Raw genomic sequence first — 24889 nt, 5'->3', positions numbered from 1 at the left:
ACCAGAATAAAAGGAGTGGCCTTAAAGACTTACACAATATTCTAGTTATGTAGGCAAATTAAAACAAATATACTTAGTGAGTTATGTGGCTTCATAAGGGGGCAAATATTTTAGCTTTATCTTTTCATTTTAGTAAGTTTCCAATTATACATTGAGTTTTCTATGATCATATTTTATTTTATTCTTTTTTAAAAAAATCTTTAAATATGGCTTCATATATGTAACCTCAGCATAACTAGTGAATTCCATAATATAGTAAAATGTATAACAAAATATTTGGGTATGTAGAATAAACAAATGGTTGTAATATGATCCTAATTTTAACTACTAACTTTTGCATCATATAGAGGAAAAGGAGCAAACATAAAATTACAAGCTACATTTATACAGCATCTAAATCAAAACAATTGGTCAGAATTTAAGATGCATTTCAATATATTTGTATTTCATCTAAATAAAATCTATATATTTTAACTTAAATTTTATAATTTACCAATACTTAATAAAAATGCAATTTTGAAAATGAAAAGAATGCTAGAAGACTGTTTCAGATGCCCCATATTACTTGTAAGATTAAAAATGGTCTAAAATGATAATCTTAACCAAAGTCATATAGGACTAAACACTTTCCTGGTAATATTTGTTTCTATTTCCTAACGCAATTTAATTCACCCAACCTTTATTGAACAGTTAATATGAATCAAGCCTGTCTAATTCCAATTACAAATAACAGGCTACTGAGACTGTAGAATGTTGCAATTACTTGGCAATCTTATCGCAAAGGAAGTAAAGGAGACAAGGTGGAGTTCTGTCCAGAAACAAACCACTGAGAAAATATGATTGTAAAGGGTATCTTGAGCAATGGGCCCAGTGTTGCAAAGTATTTACAAATTAAAAGCAAGTTTCTTCTCAGGAGCAATGAATTTCCACAGCAGAATTTCCCTAGTTGTTTTCTGGGACAGTAGCCTGTGGCCTCTATGGAATCTTCCAAGATTTTTGGATGACACTAAAAACATGCTTTGAAACCTAGGAATGAAGGAGAAAACTCTCTTCTTTCTTTTATTTCCTCCTTTATTTGAGAAATTTTGGTAAAATTATGAAGTATTACAAAATTGGGGGCTTGGGTCTTTACAAGCTAAAATTATAGTTTTGCTAACACTGACCCTCTGAGGACATGAGTCCACAAATGCCATTGTGACTGAGCCTCCTGTTTACATAGCTGGTGTTTACATGGACTTTGAACTCAAGGGAACTTGAGAATGTGTGGTGGTATTCATTCCATGCTATACGAAAATTAACCCAGACCTAGCTGCATGTATTGTATGACTAAAAGGAAAGCCCAGATGTCTGGCTATTATTCCTAGGCTTCTCTTGGGGTAAAAAAGGAACTTTATGTTTGGGATTAAAAATATAAAACATACACACTTAAAACACTCTCACTTTCTCCCACACTCAACAAATCTTATAACACGTCTAGATACTTGGTGTCCAAGATTTGTATTATTTAGATTTCACTGAAGGCCATCCATACACATAAGTTTATATATAAACACATTTTTTTCTAATGGTGAGTGGAAATTTTATAGCTTGTTATCTGTTATATATAAAGATATCCCCCCTTCTCCAAACAGTGTTACATCTTAGGGTTTGAATCTGACTGCAAAGATGTATAGTACATTAATTTTGTATGAACAAGTACATTCATTTTGCTGTTTGGGGGCCTACCACTTTTTGTAGTTCATTTCTGTTTGCCTTGTAAGCTGACAGTTATATGAAAAATATCATAATTCTAGTCACATATGAGGTTCACTGGGGCTTAATCATGAAAGACCTAGATGGTATACCTATGACTAGATGGTATACTGGTGTCATGATGGACCTTGAGGCCTCCATGTCTAATCAAAATAGAAAGTAAATCAAATTTTTCCAAAAGTGAAAAAGGTCAATAGTGGGCTGGCACAATCAATGGAAGCCACTAAAAACAGGGCCTCCATTTCAGTGTTGCGCTTCAGTGTTTCTCTTAATGTTTGTGGCCAGAATTGGTTCTTCACACAGGCAAACGAGTGGCTATCTATGCAGCGCAAAAATGAATATGTTTAGAAAAGTCATAATTAAGAAGAACCAGCCATCCCATTACTGGGTATATACCCAAATGTCTATAAATCATGCTGCTGTAAAGACACATGCACACGTATGTTTATTGCGGCATTATTCACAATAGCAAAGACTTGGAACCAACCCAAATGTCCAACAATGATAGACTGGATTAAGAAAATGTGGCACATATACACCATGGAATACTATGCAGCCATAAAAAAGGATGAGTTCATGTCCTTTGTAGGGACATGGATGAAATTGGAAATCATTATTCTCAGTAAACTATCGCAAGAACAAAAAACCAAACGCGGCATATTCTCACTCATAGGTGGGAATTGAACAATGAGATCACATGGACACAGGAAGGGGAATATCACACTCTGGGGACTGTGGTGGGGTGGGGGGAGGGGGGAGGGATAGCATTGGGAGATATACCTAATGCTGGATGACGAGTTAGTGGGTGCAGCGCACCAGCATGGCACATGTATACATATGTAACTAACCTGCACAATGTGCACATGTACCCTAAAACTTAAAGTATAATAAAAAAAAAGAAGTCAGTGTAAAAAATCAATACTATCTCTATACAGTAGCAATAAACATTGGAAATTAATATTTTAAAATAAAAATATTTTAAAATAATTTGTTTTCTCTGGACAAATAAAAATGTTATACAGTCCCTGACTTACAAAGGTTTGACTTTTGATTTTTTGACATTACAATAGAGCAAAAGCAACACTCATTTTGTAGAAATTGTACTTAGAGTACCCATACAACCATTCTGGCTTTATTTTCAGTACAGTATTCAATAAATTACACTAGATATTCAATACTTTATTATAAAGTAGGCTTTGTGATAGATGATTTTGTCCAACTGTAGGCTAATGTAAGTGTCCTGGGCACTTTCCATCTGGGCTAGGGTAAGCTATGATGTTTGGAAGGTTAGGAGTATTAAAGGCACTTTTGTCTTACAATATTTTCAACTTATAATGGATTTATCAGGATGTAACTCCATTGTAATTCAAAGAACATCTATATGTTTATCATATGCAAAATTTGTTTTTATATATGCCTACATTGTGATTGACTAAATCATGCTATTTAACATTTACTTTATATCACATATACTTTTTGTGGTGAGATCACTTAAAATTTTCTCTTGGCAATTTTCAGTGATACAATAGGTTGTCACCAACTATTCACCAACTATTGACACCATGTTATACAATAGATCCCTCACTTGTTCCTCTCAGCTACTTGAAATTTTGTATCCTTTGACCAACAACTCTCCCACCCCCACCCCCAGCTCATGGTAAACACCATTCACTCCCTACCTTTATGAGTTCAACTTTTTAATATTTCACACATAAGTGAGATCATGCAATATTTGTCCTTCTGTGCCTGGCTTATTTCACTTAATACAATGTCCTTCAGGTGCATCCATGTTGCTGCAAATGACAGGATTTCCTTCTTTTTAGAAGCTGAATAGTATTTTGTTGTGTATATATGACATTCTTTATCCATTAATCAGTTCATGGACAATTAGGTTGATTGCATATATTATCTGTAATGAATAATACTCAATGAACATGAGAATATAGATATCTCTTCAACATACTGATCTTATTTCCTTTGGATATATAGCCAGTAGTTGTATTACTGGATCATAAGTTCTACTTTTAATTTTTTGAGGAACTTTCATATTGTTTTCTATAATGGCTGTATCAATTTACATTCCCACCAAAAGTGTGCAAGGAGCAGAAGCTCTTTAGTATAATTAGGTCCCAGTTGTCAATTTTTGGTTTTGTTGCAATTGCTGTTGGTGACTTTATAAAAAATATTTGCCAGGGCCTATGTCCAGAACAGTGTTTCCAAGGTTATCTTCCAGAGTTTTTATAGTTTTACATTTTACATTTAAGTCTTTAATCTGTCTTTTAGTTGATTTTTGTATAAGGGTTCCAGCTTCAATCTTCTGCATATGGCTAGCAACGTTTCATAGCACCATTTATTGAAAAATGGGTCCTTTTCCCATTGCTTGTTTTTATCAACTTTATTGAATATCAGATGGTTGCAGGTGTATTATTACTGGGCTCTCTATTCCATTGGTCTATGCATCTTTTGTTTGTTTTTATTTTTTCACAAGTACCATGCTATTTTGTTACTGTAGCATTGTAGTATGGTTTGAAGTTGGGTAATGTGATGCCTACAGCTTTCTTCTTTTTGGTTAGGATTGCCTTGAATATCCATGCTCTTTTTTGGTACCATATCAATTTTAAAATAGTTATTACTAATTATCTGAAGAATGTCATTTGTAGACTGATAGGAATAGCATTGAATAGCATTGAACTGTAAATTTCTTTGGGTAGTATGGCCATTTTAACAATATTGATCCTTCTTACCTATGAGCATTGAATGTGTTTCCATTTGTTCGTTTCAACTCTAATTTCTTTCAGCAGTGCAAAATTTTGTAATTATCCTTGTGAAGATATTTTACCTCCCTGGTTAGCTGTATTCCCAGGTACTTAATTCTTTTTGTGGCTATTATAAATGGAATTGTATTCTTGATTTGGCTCTCAGCTTGAGTGGTGTTGGTATATAGAAATGTTACTCATTTTTATGCATTAACTGGGTATCCTGAAAGTTTGCTGAAGTTGTTTTTCAGATCTAGGAGCTTTGGGGTGGTGACTATGGGGTTTTCTAGGTATATAATCACAATGTGTAAACATGGATACTTTGACTTCTTCTATTCCTATTTGAATGTCTTTCATTTCTTTCTCTTGCCTGATTGCTCTGGCTAGGACTTCCAGTACTATGCTAAACAGGAGTGGTGAGGATGAGCATCCTTGGCTTGCTCCAGGTCTCAAGAGGAATGCTTCCAGCTTTTGGCCATTCAGTATGATGTTGGCTGTGGGTTTGTTGTAGATGGCTTTTATTATTTTCATTGTCTAGTTTGTTGAGGGCTTTTAACATAAAGGAATGTTGAATTTTATCTGAAGTCTTTTCTGCATCTGTTGAGGTGATCCTGTGGTTTTGTCTTTATACCTGTTTATATGATGAATCACATTTATTGATTGGCATGTTGAACCAAGTTTGCATCCCAGGAATAAAGTCTACTTGATCATGATGGATTAGATTTTTGATGGTTCGCTACTATTTTCTTGAGATTTTTGCACACTGTGTTCATCAAGCATATGGCCTGATGTTTTCTTTTTTGTTGTGTCTCTGACAGGTTTTGGTATCAGGATGATGCTGGCCTCATGGAGTAAGTTAAGGAGTCTCTCCTTTTCAATCTTTTGAAATAGTTTCAGTAAGAATGGTACCCTCTCTTCTTTATATTTCTGGTAGAATTTGACTGTAAATGTATATTTGGCTGGTCCTAAGTTTTTTGTGGTTGGTAGGCTTTTTATTACTGATTTGATTTCAGAACTCATTATTTGTTAGTTCAGGGATTCAATTTCTCCCTTGTTCAGCCTTGGGAAATTGTTTGTTTCTAGGAATTTATTAATTTCTTCTAGATTTTGTCCTTTGTGTGCATAGAGGTGTTCATAGTAGACTCTGAGAGGTGTATATATATATATATATATATATATATATATATATTTTTTTTTTTTTTTTTTGGTGGGGTCAGTGATAATGTCCCCTTCATCATTTCTGATTGTGTTTATTTGGATCTTCTTTCCTTTTTACTTTTAGCCTAACTAGTAGTCTGTCAATATTATTTATTTTTACAAAGTGCAAACTCATGAATGTGTTGATGTTTAGTATGGTTTTAAGTACCTCAATTGCATTCAGTTCAGCTCTGATTTTGGTAATTTTTTGTCTTCTTCCTGCTTTGTGGTTGGTTTGCTCTTGTTTTTCAAGAGCAGGAGGGCAGCAGGTATGCTCCCACCGACAGTGGTGGGGTGGCAGGGTGTGCATGCACTTGCACACTGGCAGGGTCACAGAGGCAAGTTCCACCCACACAAGTGCACCTGCATAGACAAATCTATTTCATACAAATAGGAAGAGGAATAGAGCAGAGGGAGCTATATTAATATCAGATGAAATATACTTTAAGTAAAAAGCTGTAAAAAAAAGACAAAGGTTATTATATATTGGTGAAGGAGCAAATTCATAAGATGATATAAAAATTGTAAATATATATGCACCCAACATCATAGTGCCTGAAGCAAATATGAAGCTAGTATTAATCCATGTGAACGGAGATATAGACTGCAATGAAATAATAGTGGGGAATTTAATACCTCACTTCTAGCAATGCAAATATCATGTAGACAGCAAATCAATAATAATAATTAATAAGGAACTGTATGTCCATGTTGTGTGGAGCGTGTGGGAAAATATCTGCCAGCAAAGCAGAGGGCCAAGCCTGTGGTGGTGGGAAGCTATGGGTAGGCTGGTGCACCTCAGTGGTGGCCGGTCTGCTGAAGCTCTCCAACAGTCAGGCGCAAGCCTTCCAGCAAAGGAATTATGATGAGGGTCCCCAGGAAGCACCCTTGTTTGGCATTGAGGCTACCCTTCAAGAGGGTGCAGTGATGCTGGATCCCAAGGAAAGGCCAGCAGACATGGGGTGCTCAGATCAGACTAGACTCATCACCTGGACAAGACTGCTCTGCTGTGTCCAGGTTTGAAAGTCACTCTAAGGCTACATTATTTTAGAGGAGCATGGCAAGCTGTGGGATACAGGCAGTTCTGCTCATCTCCCATACTCTACTACAGCTGTTCCCTTGCCAAACTCTACAGGCTGGAGTTCTGTGCAGAGTTCCCCGCCACTTCTTTAAGCAACTCTCCATGCCAAGTAAAGTGTCCATTGATGTCATGGGGTCCCCTGCTTTTAGGATTCTGGAGGTCCATGGTGAGAATTGGCTGCTCCTCGCCTGTTTGATTCATCCCTTCCCCAAGAATCGCTAGGGGCCAAGAGTGAGTTCTGGTGCTCAGCAGCCCTGTGCTAGGTTCCCAGCTTCCTCCCCCTTAATCCTAGCGTCTGCATCCTTCCCTATTCACCTTTCAGTTCCTTCCTTCTGAAGATCTGTTCAGAACATACCAGTCTTCCCCATGTCCTGGTCTCTTGGTGGGAGATGTTTCTCCTGGCTGTATCTAGTGGTCCATCTTGGCTCCTCTTTCTTTTTTGATGTAGAATTTTATTGCTGTAAACTCCCCGCTTTGAATCACATTTACTGAATTTCATAAGTTTTGGTATATTGTGTTTCCGTTTTCATATGCTACCAAATATTTTTTTAAATTCCCTTTTTAATTTCTTTTTTGACACTTTGGTTGTTCAGAAGCATGTTATTTACATTTCATGTGGTTGAGAATTTTCTAAAATTCCTCCTAATCATTTTAGTTTAGAACTAGGATGGTCAGAAAAGATACATGATATGATTTCAATCTTCTTAAATTTGTTAATACTTGTTTTGCAGTCTAACATGTGATCTATGTGGAAGAATGTTTCATGAGTTCCTGGGAAGAAGGTGTAGTCTTCTGCTTCTGGATAGAACGTTATGTATATGACTTTCAAGTCCCTTTAGTCTAAAGTGCCTAGACTTTATTCCAATGCTTCCTTATTGATTTGCTGTCTGGATGATATTTCTGTCACTAGAAGTGAGGTATTAAATTTTCCACTATTATTTCATCAGTCTATCTCTCCCTTCAAATAGATTATTATTTGCTTCATATTTGCTTCAGGTGCTCTGCTGTTGGGTGCCTATATATTTATGATTTTTGTATCTTTGTATGAATGCACTCCCTTTTCACAATATGATTATGTTCTTTGACTCTTTTAATAATTTTTTACTTAATGTCTATTTCATCTGATATAGCTTCCTCTGCTCTATTTTTGTTTCTATTTGGATGAATTATCTTTGCCCATGCCTTCTTCTTCAGTCTATGTGTCTTTAAGTGTGAAGAGAATCTTTTGTAGGCAATATATTGTTGTTCTTCTAAAAAATCTATTTAGCCATTCTATGTGTTTTGATTGGAAAATTTAATCCATTTACATTCAAGATTGATAGGTAAGGACTTACTACTGCTATTTTTCAGTTGTTTTATGCTTGTTTGTGATCTTTTATTCTTTCCTTTTTCTCTATTTTATTTTGTGACTGGATGATTGTTTTGATGGTCTTCTTTGATGAGAGGCTATTACGGCTTTGATATCATTACTTGCTATTAGTCTGTTCAGATTTTGGTTTCTTCATGGTTCATTACTTTTTTCTTTGATTAATTACTTTCTTTTTATTGAGATATAGAATCACTTTCTTTTCATTGAGAAAGGGTCTTTCGCTGTCACCCAGACTGGAGTGCAATAGCGTGATTGTATCACTTCAGCCTTGACCTATTGGGCTCAAGTGATCCTCTTATTTCAGCTTTCTGAGTTCCTGGGAGCACAAATGCACACCAATATACCTGGCTAATTTTTTAATAATTTTTTGTAGGGATGGGGGTCTCCCCACATTGCCTTGGCTAGCCTCAAATTCCTGGGCTCAAGCAATCTTTCTGCCTTGGCCTACCAAAGTGCTTGTTACCGGTGTAAGCCACCAAAACTGGCCTGATTCATTACTTTTTATCTTTTGTGTATTCAGTGTCCACCAAGGAATCTTTCAAAAGACAATCACAACATGAGATACACATGCACATTATATCCTATACACTGCTCCTAAAACAAGTATTGTTAAGAGCAGGATAAAAAGCTGAGAGAATTCGTGCTTCTATTAAATAGCTTTCTCACTTGCTCCTGCCTTTGTTTAAGGTTTCTCTTGTAGACCTTAAATGTATCTACAGAAAGAATTCTCTTTCTGGAATCCTTGAGCCTCAGAGAGTCTATGTTCTTATGACAATATAATGCAGGGCTTTACTGTCCTTGCCATTGAATCAAACTACTTAGGTTCATATCCTTGTTTTATAAACTATAACAAATTAGCCAGTGACTTGACTCTGTGACTTAGTTTCCTCATCTGTGAAATGTGGCTAATAACAGCAACTACTTCACAGAGTTGTTATAAAGATTGCATGAATTAATCTATTATAAGGGCTCCAAATTCTGAGTTCTTTTTCAACAAACTCGACTTCAAATGGTAAGCTTTATATATGCAAATAAGTCCTGGACCTAGCTGGAGACTCATAGCAGTAGTGATTCATCCATCTTCTTCTTCTTTTTTTAAATTATTATTATACTTTCAGTGCTAGGGTACATGTGCAAAATGTACAGGTTTGTTACATATGTATACAAGTGCCATGTTGGTGTGCTCCACCCGTTAACTCGTCATTTACATTAGGTATTCTCCTAATGCTATCCCTCCCCTCTCCCCCCACCCCACAACAGGCCCTGGTGTGTGATGTTCCCCACCCTGTGTCCAAGTGTTCTCATTGTTCAATTCCCACCTGTGAATGAGAACATGCAGTGTTTGGCATGATTCTGAGAAAACTATCGCAAGGACAGAAAACCAATCATCCATCTTCTTAATAGAGCATTTAATATTTATTAAGCGATGATTTGGTATGTGACAGACACAGTTTTAAGCCCTTATAAACTCAGTATTATTGATCCATTCTACAGATGCTGCATATGTAAGGTAGTTGTGAGGATTTGATGAGTGACTTTGGGTAAGTCACCTTATATATCACCATCAGTCTAATGGGGTCAGGAGAAGGTATACATTTCTACTTCATCTACTGGAAGAAGGAAAAAAATGTATAATGTGCTATGAGAGATACATATATAATATAAAGTTTTTATCTATTATAGATATTATAGATATAAACATTACAATACTATATATATGTTTAGATGAGCTGAAACTTTGAATTGAGTGTACAGTGAGACTTGTAATAATCTAACCTCACTAAATCTAATAATCTATAGATTTAGCTATATATGATGTTTAATTCACCAGTTGTTTGACAAAAAATAATTGGTTGAGTTAATAAAAAATGATGCTTGTGTGTGCATGTGACTGAGTGTGCATGGGTGTGTGTGTGCATATTACTTTTCAATTAGTAACTGGCTATTTAATGGCATGAGGAATACATAAGAATTGCTTAGTTTATATGACTTTGTTTTATGGGTTTGATATTACCTTCCTAAAATTTAGACTTATTAATTCCCTCATATACAACTGGGAATTGGTTGTTTTCTGGAGACATGCAATAAGTATTGAATTTTCTAGGATTTGGAAATCTATTGAAAATTGTAAAGTGATAAAAATATAATGCAGGAACCCAAGTCCTGGAAATAGCTGAATGAAAAATTAATATTTTCTAATGTACTTAAAATGACATTGTTTATGAAATGGGAAATTATTGTGGATTTTTACACAAGTCTATTATGATTCTGCAATGTTTTCCTTAATGGATTCTTTCTTTTAAAAAGAGAAGTTAATGTCTACATTGTGCCATAGGCAATCAGAGTTTAATATATTTCTTTAATGCATAAAATATTCATCAAGAAATGTTTTCATGTCAATCAATATATAAACCCTTTCTAAAGACACTTGAGAGTGTTAAGAAGAGATCAAGGAAATATATGAGCTTTTCTTTTCCTGGAGAGTTAGTTAGACAAGAAAAGCAGATGAGATATAAAATTTGAAAATACCGAATTTCAGAGTCCAAAATTGAATGTGTCTTTTACACTCTCTTTTTTGCTATTATAAAATATACAAACTGGCCAGGCATGGTGGCTCACGTCTGTTATCCCGGCACTTTGGGAGGCCGAGGCAGGCGGATCACAAGGTCAAGAGATCAAGACCATCCTGGCCAACATGGTGAAACACGGTCTCTACTAAATATACAAAAATTACCTGGGCATGGTGGCACATGCCTGTAGTCCCAGCTACTAGGGAGGCTGAGGCAAGAGAATTGCTTGAACCCAGGAGGCAGAGGTTGCAGTGAGCCAAGATTGTGCCACTGCACTCCAGCCTGGCGACAGAGTGAGGCTCTTCTCATAAATAAATAAATAAACAAACGAACAAGCAGACAAACTAAGCATATCCTTCTTCTAGAGTGGAAGTTCAAAAGACTGTATGAGTCAGTTTGTGATATGTTCTGTATATCTTGCAAGTCCTAATTAAATGCAAGCAAACTATGAAAAATATCTAGCCACAGAATCCTTTCCCCTGTATTCTATGTAAATTAGGTTATTTTAGACTAAATCAAACTAGCATTGCCTACAAAATGTATTTTGATTTGATTTTTAAAAGACTCCAACAAAAATCCTGAAGCAAAAACCAAAATATTATACCACAAGGATCTCTCTGCCTGCCTTCTCCTCAGTTCTCTCAAAGTTTGATTCTGGAATTAAACTATTTTGGTTATAATTATATAGTCATTTTAAATTTATGAGGTAGTCCCATTTTGTTATTGAGGTATACAGATATTGTTAAGTGCAGCATATTATTATTTAGTTATTTGGTCCCTGAAGGAAATTTTTTTAAAACAATGATATCATAAAATAAAAAGAAAGACATGGAGTGGTGAAATAAAGAAATTTTGTAAAAGACCCATTGATTTGTTGCCTAAAAAAAAACAGTTCACCAATAAAGGCACACATAGAATAAAAAGAAACGGTTGGCAAAAGATATTACAGGCAAATGAAAATCAAAAAAGAGCAAGAATAGCTATACTTACAGCAGAAAAAAATGTGTTTCAAGACAAAAACTATAAAAAGAGACAAAGAAGGTTGGTACATAATGCAAGGTTGCCAATTAAACAAGATAATATAATAATTGTAGTTATGACCACAATTTAATACAACTAGGAAATAATAACAGGAATTTTGGAGACCGTCTGAACACATGGAAATTAAGCAATATACTCTTGAATGATCGGAGGGTCAATAAAAAAATTTAAAATAAAATTTAAAAATTTCTTGAAACAAATGATAATGGAAATGCAACATACCAAAACCTATGGGATATAGTGAAGGCTGTAATATAAGGAACATTTTTAACTATAAGTATCTACATCAAAAAAGTAGAAGAAAACTTCAAATAAAAAACCTAACAATATATCTTAAATAGAAAGAAAAGCAAGAGCAGTCTAAATCCAGAAATAATAGAATTAAAGAAATAATAAAGATCAGTGCATAAATAAAATTGAAATGAAGAAAACAACACAAAAGATCAACAAAATGAACAGTTGTGTTTTTTTTTTGAAAAAATAAAATGACAAACCTTTAGCTAGACTAAAGTAAAAAAAAAAAAAAAAAAAAAAAAAAAAAAAAAAAGAAGACCCAAATAAAATTAGAGATGATGGAAAGGAAATATTACAACCAAGACTACAGAAATTCAAAGGGTCATTAGAGGCTATTATGAGCAACTATATGCCAATAAACTGAAAAACCTGGAAGAAATGGATAAATCCCTAGACCCATATAATTTACCAAGATTGAACCATGAAGAAACCAAAATCTGAACAGACCAATAGCAAGTAATGATATCAAAGCCGTAATAGTCTCTCATCAAAGAAAAGCCCAGACCCAATGGCTTCACTGCTGAATTTTACCAAACATTTAAAAAGGAACTAATACCAATCCTATTCAAATTATTCTATAAAGTAGAGGAGAAGGGAATACTCACTCCCAAACTTGTTCTACATGGCCAACATTACCCAAATACCAAATTCAGACAGAAGATACATCAAAAAACAAACTACATGCCAATATCCTTGAACACTGATGCAAAAATTATTAACAAAATACTAGCAAATCAAATTCAACAACGCATTAAAAAGTCATTCATCACAACCAAGTGGGATTTACCCTTGAGATGCAAACATGGTTCAACATATTCAAATCAATCAATGTGATACATCATATCAAGGGAAAGAAGAACAAAAACAATATGATCATTTCAATTGATGCTAAAAAAGCTTTGCTGAAGTTCAACATCCTTTTATGATAAAAACCCCTAAAAAAACTGGGTATAGAAGGAACATACCTCAACATAATAAAAGCCATATATAACAGACCCTCAAATAGTATATACTGAATGGGGGAAAACTGAAGCCTTTCCTCTAACATCTAGAACACAACAAAGATACCCACTTTCACCACTGTTATTCAATATAGTATGGAAGTCCAACTAGAGCAATCAGAAAAGAGAAAGAAATACAGGACATACAAATCGAAATGGCAGAAGTCAAATTATTTTTATTTGCAGATGATATGATCTTACATTTGGAAAAACCTAAAAACTCCAAAAAAACCCAAAAATCTATTAGAACTAATAAACAAATTCAGTAAAGTTGCAGGATACAAAATAAACATACAAAAATTAGTACCATTTATATATGCCAACAGCAAACAATCTAAAAAAGAAATCAAGAAAGTAATTCCATTTAAAATAACTACAAATAAAATCAAATACCTAGGAATTAAATTAACCCCAAAAGTGAAAGATTTCTACAATGAAAACTGTAGAGCACTGCTGACAGAAATTGAAAAGGACACAAAAAAGTTGAAATATATTTTATGTTCATGTTTTGGAAGAATCAACACTGCTAAAATGTCCATACTACACAAAGTCATCTATAGATTCAATGCAATTCCTATTAATATACCAATGACATTCTTCACAGAAACAGCAAAAACAATCCTTAAATTTGACCGGGCAGGGTGGCTCATGCCTGTAACCCCAGCACTTTGGGAGGCCGAGGCAGGTGGATCACCTGAAGTCAGGAGGTCGAGACCAGCCTGAACAACACGGAGAAACCCTGTCGTCTCTACTAAAAATACAAAATTAGCCAGGCATGGTGGTGCATGCCTGTGATCACAGCTACTCAGGAGGCTGAGGCAGGAGGCGGAGGTTGCAGTTAGCCGAGATCGCGCCATTGCACTCCAACCTGGGCAACAAGAGCGAAACTGTCTCAAAAAAAAAAAAAAAAAAAAAAGAAAGAAAATTATATCGAACCACAAAAGACCCAGAATAGCCAAAGCTATCCAAAGCAAAAAGAACTAAACTGGAGGAATCACATTATCTGACTTCAAATTATATTAAAGGGCTACAGTAACCAAAACAGCACGGTACTAGCATAAAAACAGACACATACACCAATGAAACAGAATAGAAAATCCAGAAATAAATTTACACATCTACAGGTAACTCATTTTCAACAAAGATTCCAAGAATGCATGTGGGGGACTTGTCGGGCCAATAAATGGTGCTGGAAAAACTGGATACCCATTCTTCATGCAGAAGAATGAAACTAGGCCCTTATCTTTTGTCTTACACAAAAATCAAACAAAATGCACTAAAGACTTAAGCCTAAGACCTCAAACTATGAAATTACTAAAAGAAAACATTGGGGAAAATCTCCAGGACATTGGACTGGGCAAAGATTTCTTGAGTAATATCCTACAAGAACAGGCAACCAAAGCAAAAATGGACAAATGGGATCACATAAGGTTAAAAAGCTTCTGCACATTGAAGGGAACAATCAACAAATAGACAACCCACAGAATGAAAAAAATATTTCCAAACTACCCCTCTGTAAAGGGATTTTAGCCAGAATATAACGGAGCTCAACCAATTCTATAGGAAAAAAATCTAATAAGTTGATTAAAAAATAAGCAAAACATCTGAATAGACATTTCTCAGAAGAAGACATAAAAATAGCAAACAAGGATACGAAATGGTACTCAACATCATTAATCATCAGATAAATGCAAATCAAAACTACAATTAGATATTATCTAACCCCAGTTAAAATCATTTTTACCCTAAAGGCACATAATAGCAAATGCTGGCAAGGATGTGGAGAAAAAGCTACATGTTTGCACTGTTTGGGGGAATGGAAATTAGTACGACCACTATGGAGAACTGTTTGGAGTTTCCTCAAGAAACTAAAAATATTATCCAGCAATTTCACTGCTAAGCATATATTCCAAAGAAAAGAAATCAGTATATTGAAGAGATATCTGCCCTCCCATGTTTGCTGCAGCACTGTTCACAATAGCCAAGATTTGGAAGCAACCTAAGTGGCCACCAAAAAATGAATAAAGAAAATTTACTACTTGTACACAATAAAAAAGAATAAGATCCTGTTATTTGCAGCAACATGGATGGAATCAGAAGTCATTATGTTAAGTAAAATTAGCCAGGCACAGAAAGTCAAAATTCACATGTTCTCACTTATTCGTGGGAGCTAAAAATGGAAACAACTGAACTCATGGAGATTAGAGAGTAGAATAATGGTTACCAGGGGCTAGAAAGGGTTTTGTTAATGGGTACAAAAATATAGTTATATGGAATGAATGAGATCTAGTATTTGATAGCACAGTAGAGTGACTACAGTTAAAAATAATCTATTGTACATTTTTAAAAGTATAATTAGATTGTTTATAACACAAATACATGATAAATGCTTGAAATAATGGATACTCCATTTATCCTTATGTGATTATTATGCATTGCATGCCTGTATCAAAATATCTCACGTACCCCATAAATCTATATACCTGCTATGTACCAAAAAACATTAAAAATTAAAAAAATTACAAAAAATGATTTCATCAATTACTATGGAGTATATTTTGGCAATCAAATTGTCTACTTACTATCTATCTATCACAAATACACCTATTCTTCTATCCAGAATTTTTACCTTTGGGAATTTATCCTTCATCTGTATTTCAAAAATTTTTCAGAGGTTTATGTATTAAAATAATTACTGAATCATTATTTGTAATAATACAAAATTGAGAAAAATCCAAATGTCCATATATGAGACAATTTAGTAAATGAGGGTAGGAATTGTTAATAGAATGCTAGGCAGAAGTTAAAAACACAAAGGCAGGTCTATTTGTATCAATATGAAATATTCAATGAGCTATATTATTTCGAGAAAAAAGCTAGAATTTATAACACTTTGTAAATTATACACTTGGCTTAAAATTATAAATGCATTCATACACTTATAAACACCTAGAATATCCACAGAAAGATAGATAAAAATTATTAATAAAAACTATGAAGGGGGATTAAATAGATCGACTGGCATACAGAGTGGGTGGGAGACCTAGCTTTCATTTAATTTCTTCCTATTAAACATGTATTTTGTGCAGGGATTATCTATTAATATAAATTAATTATCATAAAAGGTAATATATATCTAAAAATCATTGCTTACACTGAAAATAACAAAGAACGGAAACACACTACTAATGGGAAAAATAAGTAATAGACATGTTGGGAAAATAAAACAGTCAATGAACATAAATGATTTTAAGCTGCTAGTATTTAGTGCTAATACTTAAAAATATTACTGAGAAGATTGCAATGTGGTAAAGATTTATTTACATAAATTGTTGGGTCAAAATAATTGCAAAGAGAACACTTTTCAGCAGCAATTAGAAGAAAAATTAAAAGTAAAATACTGTTAGCTGACAATGTTTGCAAACCACACATGATGAAATAGGCTGTATTCAGAGTGGTAGACTAAAGGAAAACAAAGTTCCTAGAAAGAGGCTGGACTTCTCTTGTATGAGTCAGAAGCATCACCCTGCAACTTTACAATATGTCTAAGACTAAGAGCTAATAAATATAACTCAGGACCTAAAGGAAGGAAGAATACAGTAAAACTTATCCAAGAATATCTCTGCAAGGTGGGGACTAGGTCGGTTGCCAACATCTTTATGAAAGAATAAACTATAATCAGAAGTTTGCCTTTAAAAATTTATTTTGCTGGTTGGAAGGGAAAAATTACTGTTCCTACTTCTAGAACTATAAACTTACAACATATTCAGCCAATTTAACAATTTAGTTAGGATTATATGTGGTTTGTGACTGACTGTTTTTTCTTCTTGTGTCTTAATGCTTTTCAATGTTGTTGCATTATTCTGATTTGATCATATATTTATAAAGTTTGAGTGCAACAAAATCTTAAAGAAAGTAATTATCCTCACCTGCACATAGTGCAGTAAAGTTACAGTTACTTCAGTTATTGGTTATTGTTGACATATAATAACAAAGATAATCCAGAAATTGTTAAAAAAATTATACTTTAAATTGTTAAAAAGATTAGACTATGCCACCAGGCAGGCCCCATTTCCCATATTTGGGATTACAATTCAACATGAGATTTGGGTAGGAACACAGATCTAAACCATATCATTAATTTTACAGTAATATGTTTAAATATATTCAAATATATTTTTTGCAAACCACTGTTTCTTTAAATCAACATTAAATGAATACTAAGCCAAAATAATTCTACTTATATTTAGCTATATGTATGCTACTTATTTTTATTTAATTTTAAAGTATACATTATATAAATATATATAATAGAACAGATACTCATTCCTACCCCACAAGTTTTATAATTTTTGCCTTAATGAAAGAAAGCAAGTTTTTTAGAGCTATCACATTAAACTCCAAGAAACTTACCAGCTTATAACTAATATATTATTAATAATATATAAATAAATAATATTTATTATTTTGGAAGTCAGAAATCTGACATGGGCCTTACTGGACTAAAATCAAGGTGCCAGTAGGGCTGCATTCCTTCTGGAGGCTCTTAAGAGAGAAATTTTCCTTTCCTTTCCCATCCTTTCCTTTTTCCTCGCCTTTTCCCTCTGCCCTTTCATTTCCTTTCCCTTCCCCTTTTCCTTTCTCACTCCCTTTCCCTTTCTGAGACTGCCAACATCCTTGGTTCATGAACTCCTTCCTTCATGTTCAAAGACAGCAATGATAGGTTGAATCTTTCTCACATCACAGCCCTGGGCCTCCTTTTCTGCCCCCTCTTCCACCTTTAAGGACCCCTGTGATTACATTGGGCCCACTTGGGATAATCCAGGATAATATTCCTATCATAAAGTCAGCCAATTAGCAACCTTAATTTCAATTAGCAATCTTAATTTTCCATTGCCATGTAAACTTACATCTTCATAGTTCCAACAATTAGGATTTGGACATCGTTGGGAGACTATTATTCAGCCTACCATATGCTAAACAAAAATTATGGGAGGTCATTGTTTTGGACAGCTCCTGCGCTAAACTCCAGCAGACCAGGCCAAACCAGAAGAGTCACCTGGGCTAAGTGCCACGTAATCAAAGTGAACTTTGAAACAAGCCAGTTTTCAAAACAAAAACAAAGAAAATAAATAAGAAAACAAAAAACAAACCAACAAAATCACAGAAGCATCACAGCAACCAATCAGAAGGCATGCAGTTAACCAAAAGGTTCCTCTATTTTAACTCCATATGGGAAGTAACTTTGAAACAACCAATCTGCCTTTGTTTTATTGTTGTTTTCCAGGATTAATTCTTCATTTATGCTTCCTTTAGCCCTTTTCTGACTATAAAGCCAATCTTCTCTGCTCAGCTCATGGGAGCACTTACTTTATTTTAAAGCATGGGATGCTTCCCCAAGTCATAAAAACATGTATATAAGATTCAGTTCTCTCTTTCCTCACTCCCAAAATATGTTTATGATTTTTAAATATATTCATGAAACATGTTTCTATAGTATTATTTTATGTGTTTTAAATTTTCTATTAACAATATAATATTTATGAGGACTTACATCTTGGTTTGTCCAGGATAGTCTGCTTTATGCTCATTGTTCAACATATGTATTAATAGCACTTCTCAAGTAATATTACTCATATCTTTTTGCAGCTAGCATTTTTCACTCAACATTTTTTAAAAGTTCATGTTACTACTCATAAATCAACATTTAAATGAAATAGGTACATTTTCTGTTTTGTAGTAGTTCAGTAATTCAAAAATTTTAAATATTATGACTCTACATTTGTATTCACATATGACACACACTTCTTATATTATACCTTTGTAGTTAGTCATGAGAATGCTTGGACTTAGACTTGATATGCTTATTTAAAACCGCTTTCTTGGAGACCCCTCTTGATATTATAGTCTTTAAACATCCAGATGTCGCAGATTTTTTATTATGTCTTGGTTTTTCTTCTGTCAAGTGTAAGTTTTTTGGTCATTTACCAATTTAATGAGCTCTTCAGTTTTCATGATCATTGCTTAGACACTCAGTAAGCAATTCGTTGTAATTCCCAGATTCTTCTGTAATTAAACCCTTCTGATTGAATAAGCTAGATTAATAAGCTATATTCCCTCATGGCATAGGCCTATTAGAGCTCTTTTAAAAACTGATCTTATAACTAATACTTTTCAAAACAACACTTGTTTTGGTACCAGCAACATGCTGTTTTGGTTACTGTAGCTTTGTAGTATAGTTTGAAGTCAGGTAGTGGGATGCCTCTAGCTTTGTTCTTTTTTTTAGGATTATCTTGGCTTATACGGGCTCTTTTTTGGTTCCATATGAAATTTAAGGTAGTTTTTCTAATTCTGTGAAGAAAGTCAGTGAGCACTTGATGGGGATAGCATTGAATCTACAAATTACTTTGGGCAGTATGGCCATTTACACTATATTGATTCTTTCTATCCACAAGCATGGAATGTTTTCCATTTGTTTGTGTCCCCTCTTATTTCGTTGAGCAGTGGTTTGTAGTTCTCCTTGAAAAGGTCCTTCACATCCCTTGTAAGTTGGGTTCCTAGGTATTTCATTCTCTTTGAAACAAGTGTAAATGGGAGTTCACTCATGATTTGGCTCTCTGTCTCTTATTGGTGTATAGGAACGCTTGTGATTTTTGCACATGGATTTTGTATCCTCAGATTTTGCTGAAGTTGCTTATCAGCTTAAGGAGATTTTGGGCTGAGACAATGGGGTTTTAAATATAGAATCATGTTATCTGCAAACAGAGACAATTTGACAGATATATAGACCAATGGAACAAAACAAAAGCCTCAGAAATAATGCCATACATCTACAACCATCTGATCTTTGACAAATTTGACAAAACAAGCAATGGGGAAAGGATTCCCTATTTAATAAATGGTGTTGGGAAAGCTGGCTAGCCATATGCAGAAAACTGAAACTGGACCCCTCCCTTACACCTTATACAAAAATTAACTCAAAATGGATTAAAGATGAAATGTAAGACCTAAACCCATAAAAACCCTAGAAGGAAACCTAGGCAATACCACTCAGGACATAGACATGGGCAAAGACTTCATGACTCAAATACCAAAAGCAATGGCAACAAAACCCAAAATTGACAAACAGGATATAATTAAACAAAGAACTTCTGCACAGCAAAAGAAACTATCCATCCAACAAAGGGCTAATATCCAGAATCTACAAGGAACTTAAATTTACAAGAACAAAATCCTATCAAAAAGTAGGCAGAGGATATGAACAGACACTTCTCAAAAGAAGACATTTATGCAGCCAACGAACATTTGAAAAAAAGCTCACCATCATTGGTCATTAGAGAAATGCAAATCAAACCCACAATGAGATAGATACCATCTCACGCCAGTTAGATTGGCAATCATTAAAAAGTCAGGAAACAACAGATGGTGAAGAGGAGAGGATGTGGAGAAATAGAAACGCTTTTACACTGTTGGTGGGAGTGTAAATTAGTTCAACCATTGTGGAAAACAAAGTGGCGATTCCTCAAGGATCTAGAACCAGAAATACCATTTGACCCAGCAATCCCATTACTGGGTATATACCCAAAGGATTGTAAATCATTCTACTGTAAAGACACATGCACATGTATGTTTACTGAGGCAATGTTCACAATAGCAAAGACTTGGAACCAACCCAAATGCCCATCAATGATAGACTGGATAAAAAAATGTGGCACATATACACATGGAATACTATGCAGCCATAAAAAGGATGGGTTCATGTCCTTTGCAGGGACATGGATGAAGCTGGAAACTATCATTCTCAGCAAACTAACACAGGAACAGGAAACCAAACACCGCATGTTCTCACTTATAAGTGGGAGTTGAACACACTGCATGTTCTCACTCATAAATGGGAGTTGAACAATGAGAACACATGGACACAGGGAGGGGAACATCGCACACCACCCTGTTGGGTGGTAGGGGGCTGGGGCTGGGGCTATTCTTCCTATCTAACTGTAACTTTGTACCCACTGAATAACCTCTCCTGGCTTTCCCTTTCCCCAACGCTCCCTATCCCCTGATAACCACCATTCTACTTTCTACTTTTACAATAGTTTCTTTTGCTGTGCAGAAGCTCTTTAGTTTAATTAGATCCCATTTGTCAATTTTGGGTTTTGTTGCCACTGCTTTTGGTGTTTTAGTCATGAAGTCTTTGCCCATGTCTATGTCCTGAGTGGTATTGCCTAGGTTTTCTTCTAGGGTTTTTATGGTTTTAGGTCTTACATTTAATAGCATTAGGAGAAACACCTAATGTAGATGATGGGTTGATGGGTGCAGCAAAACACCATCACATGTATACCTATGTAACACATCTGCACATTCTGCAAATGTATGCCACATGAAGTATGTGTATGTATATATATACATATATATGAAGTATATACATATATATAAAGTATATTTATGTATATATATAACACTTGTATTCTGAAACTGATTCAGTTTTAAACACAGTATTTTTTCATTTAAGCTTTTATGTATAATTAACACATACAAATTGCACATATTTAATTGGGTACCATGTAATGTTTCAGTGCATTATACATAGCATAATGATCAAATTGGTGTAACTGTTATTTGCTATAGTCACCCTACTGTGTAATAGGGAACTAAGACTTATTCTTCCTATCTAACTGTAACTTTGTACCCGCTGAATAACCTCTCCCGGCTTTCCCTTTCCCCAACCCTCCCTATCCCCGGATAACCACCATTCTACTTTCTACTTTTACAAAATCATGTTTTCTAGATTCCACATAAGTGGGGTCATATGACGTTTGTCTTTCTTTGCCTGGCTTATCTCACTTAATGTAATGTCATCCATGTTCATTTATGTTGATGCAAATGACAGAATTGAATTCCTTTTCATGTCTAAATAATGTTCCTTTTTATTTATTTTATTTATTTAATTTTTTAATTTAATTTTTTTTATTATACTTTAAGTTTTAGGGTACATGTGCACATTGTGCAGGTTAGTTACATATGTATACATGTGCCATGCTGGTGCGCTGCACCCACTAACTCGTCATCCAGCATTAGGTATATCTCCCAATACGATCCCTCCCCCCTCCCCCCACCCCACAATAGTCCCCAGAGGGTGATGTTCCCCTTCCTGTGTCCATGTGATCTCATTGTTCACTTCCCACCTATGAGTGAGAATATGCGGCATTTGGTTTTTTGTTCTTGCGATAGTTTACTGAGAATGATGATTTCCAATTTCATCCATGTCCCTACAAAGGACATGAACTCATCCTTTTTTATGGCTGCATAGTATTCCAAGGTGTATATGTGCCACATTTTCTTAATCCAGTCTATCATTGTTGGACATTCGGGTTGGTTCCAAGTCTTTGCTATTGTGAATAATGCCACAATAAACATACATGTGCATGTGTCTTTATAGCAGCATGATTTATAGTCCTTTGGGTATACACCCAGTAATGGGATGGCTGGGTCAAATGGTATTTCTAGTTCTAGATCCCTGAGGAATTGCCACACTGACTTCCACAATGGTTGAACTAGTTTACAGTCCCACCAACAGTGTCAAAGTGTTCCTATTTCTCCACATCCTCTCCAGCACCTGTTGTTTCCTGACTTTTTAATGATTGCCATTCTAACTGGTGTGAGATGGTATCTCCTTGTGGTTTTGATTTGCATTTCTCTGATGGCCAGTGATAATGAGCATTTTTTCATGTGTTTTTTGGCTTCATAAATGTCTTCTTTTGAGAAGTGTCTGTTCATGTCCTTTGCCCACTTTTTGATGGGGTTGTTTGTTGTTTTCTTGTAAATTTGTTTGAGTTCATTGTAGATTCTGGATATTAGCCCTTTGTCAGATGAGTAGGTTGCAAAAATTTTCTCCCATTTTGTACGTTTCCTGTTCACTCTGTTGGTAGTTTCTTTTGCTGTGCAGAAGCTCTTTATTTTAATTAGATCCCATTTGTCAATTTTGTCTTTTGTTGCCATTGCTTTTGGAGTTTTAGACATGAAGTCCTTGCCCATGCCCATGTCCTGAATGGTAATGCCTAGGTTTTCTTCTAGGGTTTTTATGGTTTTAGGTCTAACGTTTAAGTCTTTAATCCATCTTGAATTGATTTTTGTATAAGGTTTAAGGAAGGGATCGAGTTTCAGCTTTCTACATATGGCTAGCCAGTTTTCCCAGCACCATTTATTAAATAGGGAATCCTTTCCCCATTGCTTGTTTTTCTCAGGTTTGTCAAAGATCAGATAGTTGTAGGTATGCGGCGTTATTTCTGAGGGCTCTGTTATGTTCCATTGATCTATATCTCTGTTTTGGTACCAGACCCATGCTGTTTTGGTTACTGTAGCATTGTAGTATAGTTTGAAGTCAGGTAGTGTGATGCCTCCAGCTTTGTTCTTTTGGCTTAGGATTGACTTGGTGATGCGGGCTCTTTATTGGTTCCATATGAACTTTAAAGTAGTTTTTTCCAATTCTGTGAAGAAAGGCATTGGTAGCTTGATGGGGATGGCATTGAATCTGTAAATTACCTTGGGCAGTATGGCCATTTTCACGATATTGATTCTTCCTACCCAGGAGCATGGAATGTTCTTCCATTTGTTTGTATCCTCTTTTATTTCCTTGAGCAGTGGTTTGTAGTTCTCCTTGAAGAGGTCCTTCACGTCCCTTGTAAGTTGGATTCCTAAGTATTTTATTCTCTTTGAAGCAATTGTGAATGGGACTTCACTCATGATTTGGCTCTCTGTTTTTCTGTTGTTGGTGTATAAGAATGCTTGTGATTTTTGTACATTGATTTTGTATCCTGAGACTTTGCTGAAGTTGCTTATCAGCTTAAGGAGATTTTGTGCTGAGACGATGGGGTTTCCTAGATATACAATCACGTCATCTGCAAACAGGGACAATTTGACTTCCTCTTTTCCTGTTTGAATACCCTTTATTTCCTTCTCCTGCCTAATTGCCCTGGCCAGAACTTCCAAGACTATGTTGAATAGGAGTGGTGAGAGAGGGCATCCCTGTCTTGTGCCAGTTTTCAAAGGGAATGCTTCCAGTTTTTGCCCATTCAGTATGATATTGGCTGTAGGTTTGTCATAGATAGCTCTTATTATTTTGAAATACGTCCCATCAATACCTAATTTATTGGGAGTTTTTAGTATGAAGGGTTATTGAATTTTGTCAAAGGCCTTTTCTGCATCTATTGAGATAATCATGTGATTTTTGTCTTTGGCTCTGTTTATATGCTGGATTACATTTATTGATTTGCGTATATTGAACCAGCCTTGCATCCCAGGGATGAAGCCCACTTGATCATGGTGGATAAGCTTTTTGATGTGCTGCTGGATTCGTTTTGCCAGTATTTTATTAAGGATTTTTGCAATAATGTTCCTTTTTATATTTACACATCACATTTAAAAAAATCCATTCCCTTGTAGATGAGCACTTAGGTTGATTCCATATCTCAGCTATTGTGAATAGAGCTGCAATAAATATGGGTGTCCAGATGTACCTTTAGCACACTGGCTTCACTTCCCTTGTATTTCCATAGTGAGATTGCTGGTTCATATGGTATTTATATTTTTAATTTTTAAAGTAACCTTTATATTGTGTTCCATAATGGCTTTACTAATTTACATTTCTGCCAGCAATGTATAAGTATTTCCTTCTCTCCACATCCTCATAAGAATTTATTTTTCCTCCTTATTAACCATAACGCGTATGGTTAATAGGCATTCTGTGACTGGGGTGAGATGATATCTCACTGTGGTTTTGATTTTCATTTTCCTGATGATGACTCATGCTGAGCTTTTCTCATATATCT

The 24889-nt window shown here is 35.0% G+C and overlaps 1 long non-coding RNA gene across 1 annotated transcript in view; it reads right to left on the bottom strand.

Moving 5' to 3' along the window:
- LOC101928516 (uncharacterized) overlaps window positions 1-24889 on the bottom strand; it is a 621277-nt gene that overhangs the window by 154804 nt on the left and 441584 nt on the right. The window lies entirely within an intron of this gene.

The sequence above is a fragment of the Homo sapiens genome, chromosome 6 (assembly GCF_000001405.40).
Source record: "Homo sapiens chromosome 6, GRCh38.p14 Primary Assembly".
Taxonomy (NCBI): Eukaryota; Metazoa; Chordata; class Mammalia; order Primates; family Hominidae; genus Homo; species Homo sapiens.
Note: the sequence above shows the minus strand (reverse complement) of the source record. Positions and strands in the feature narration are given on the sequence as shown.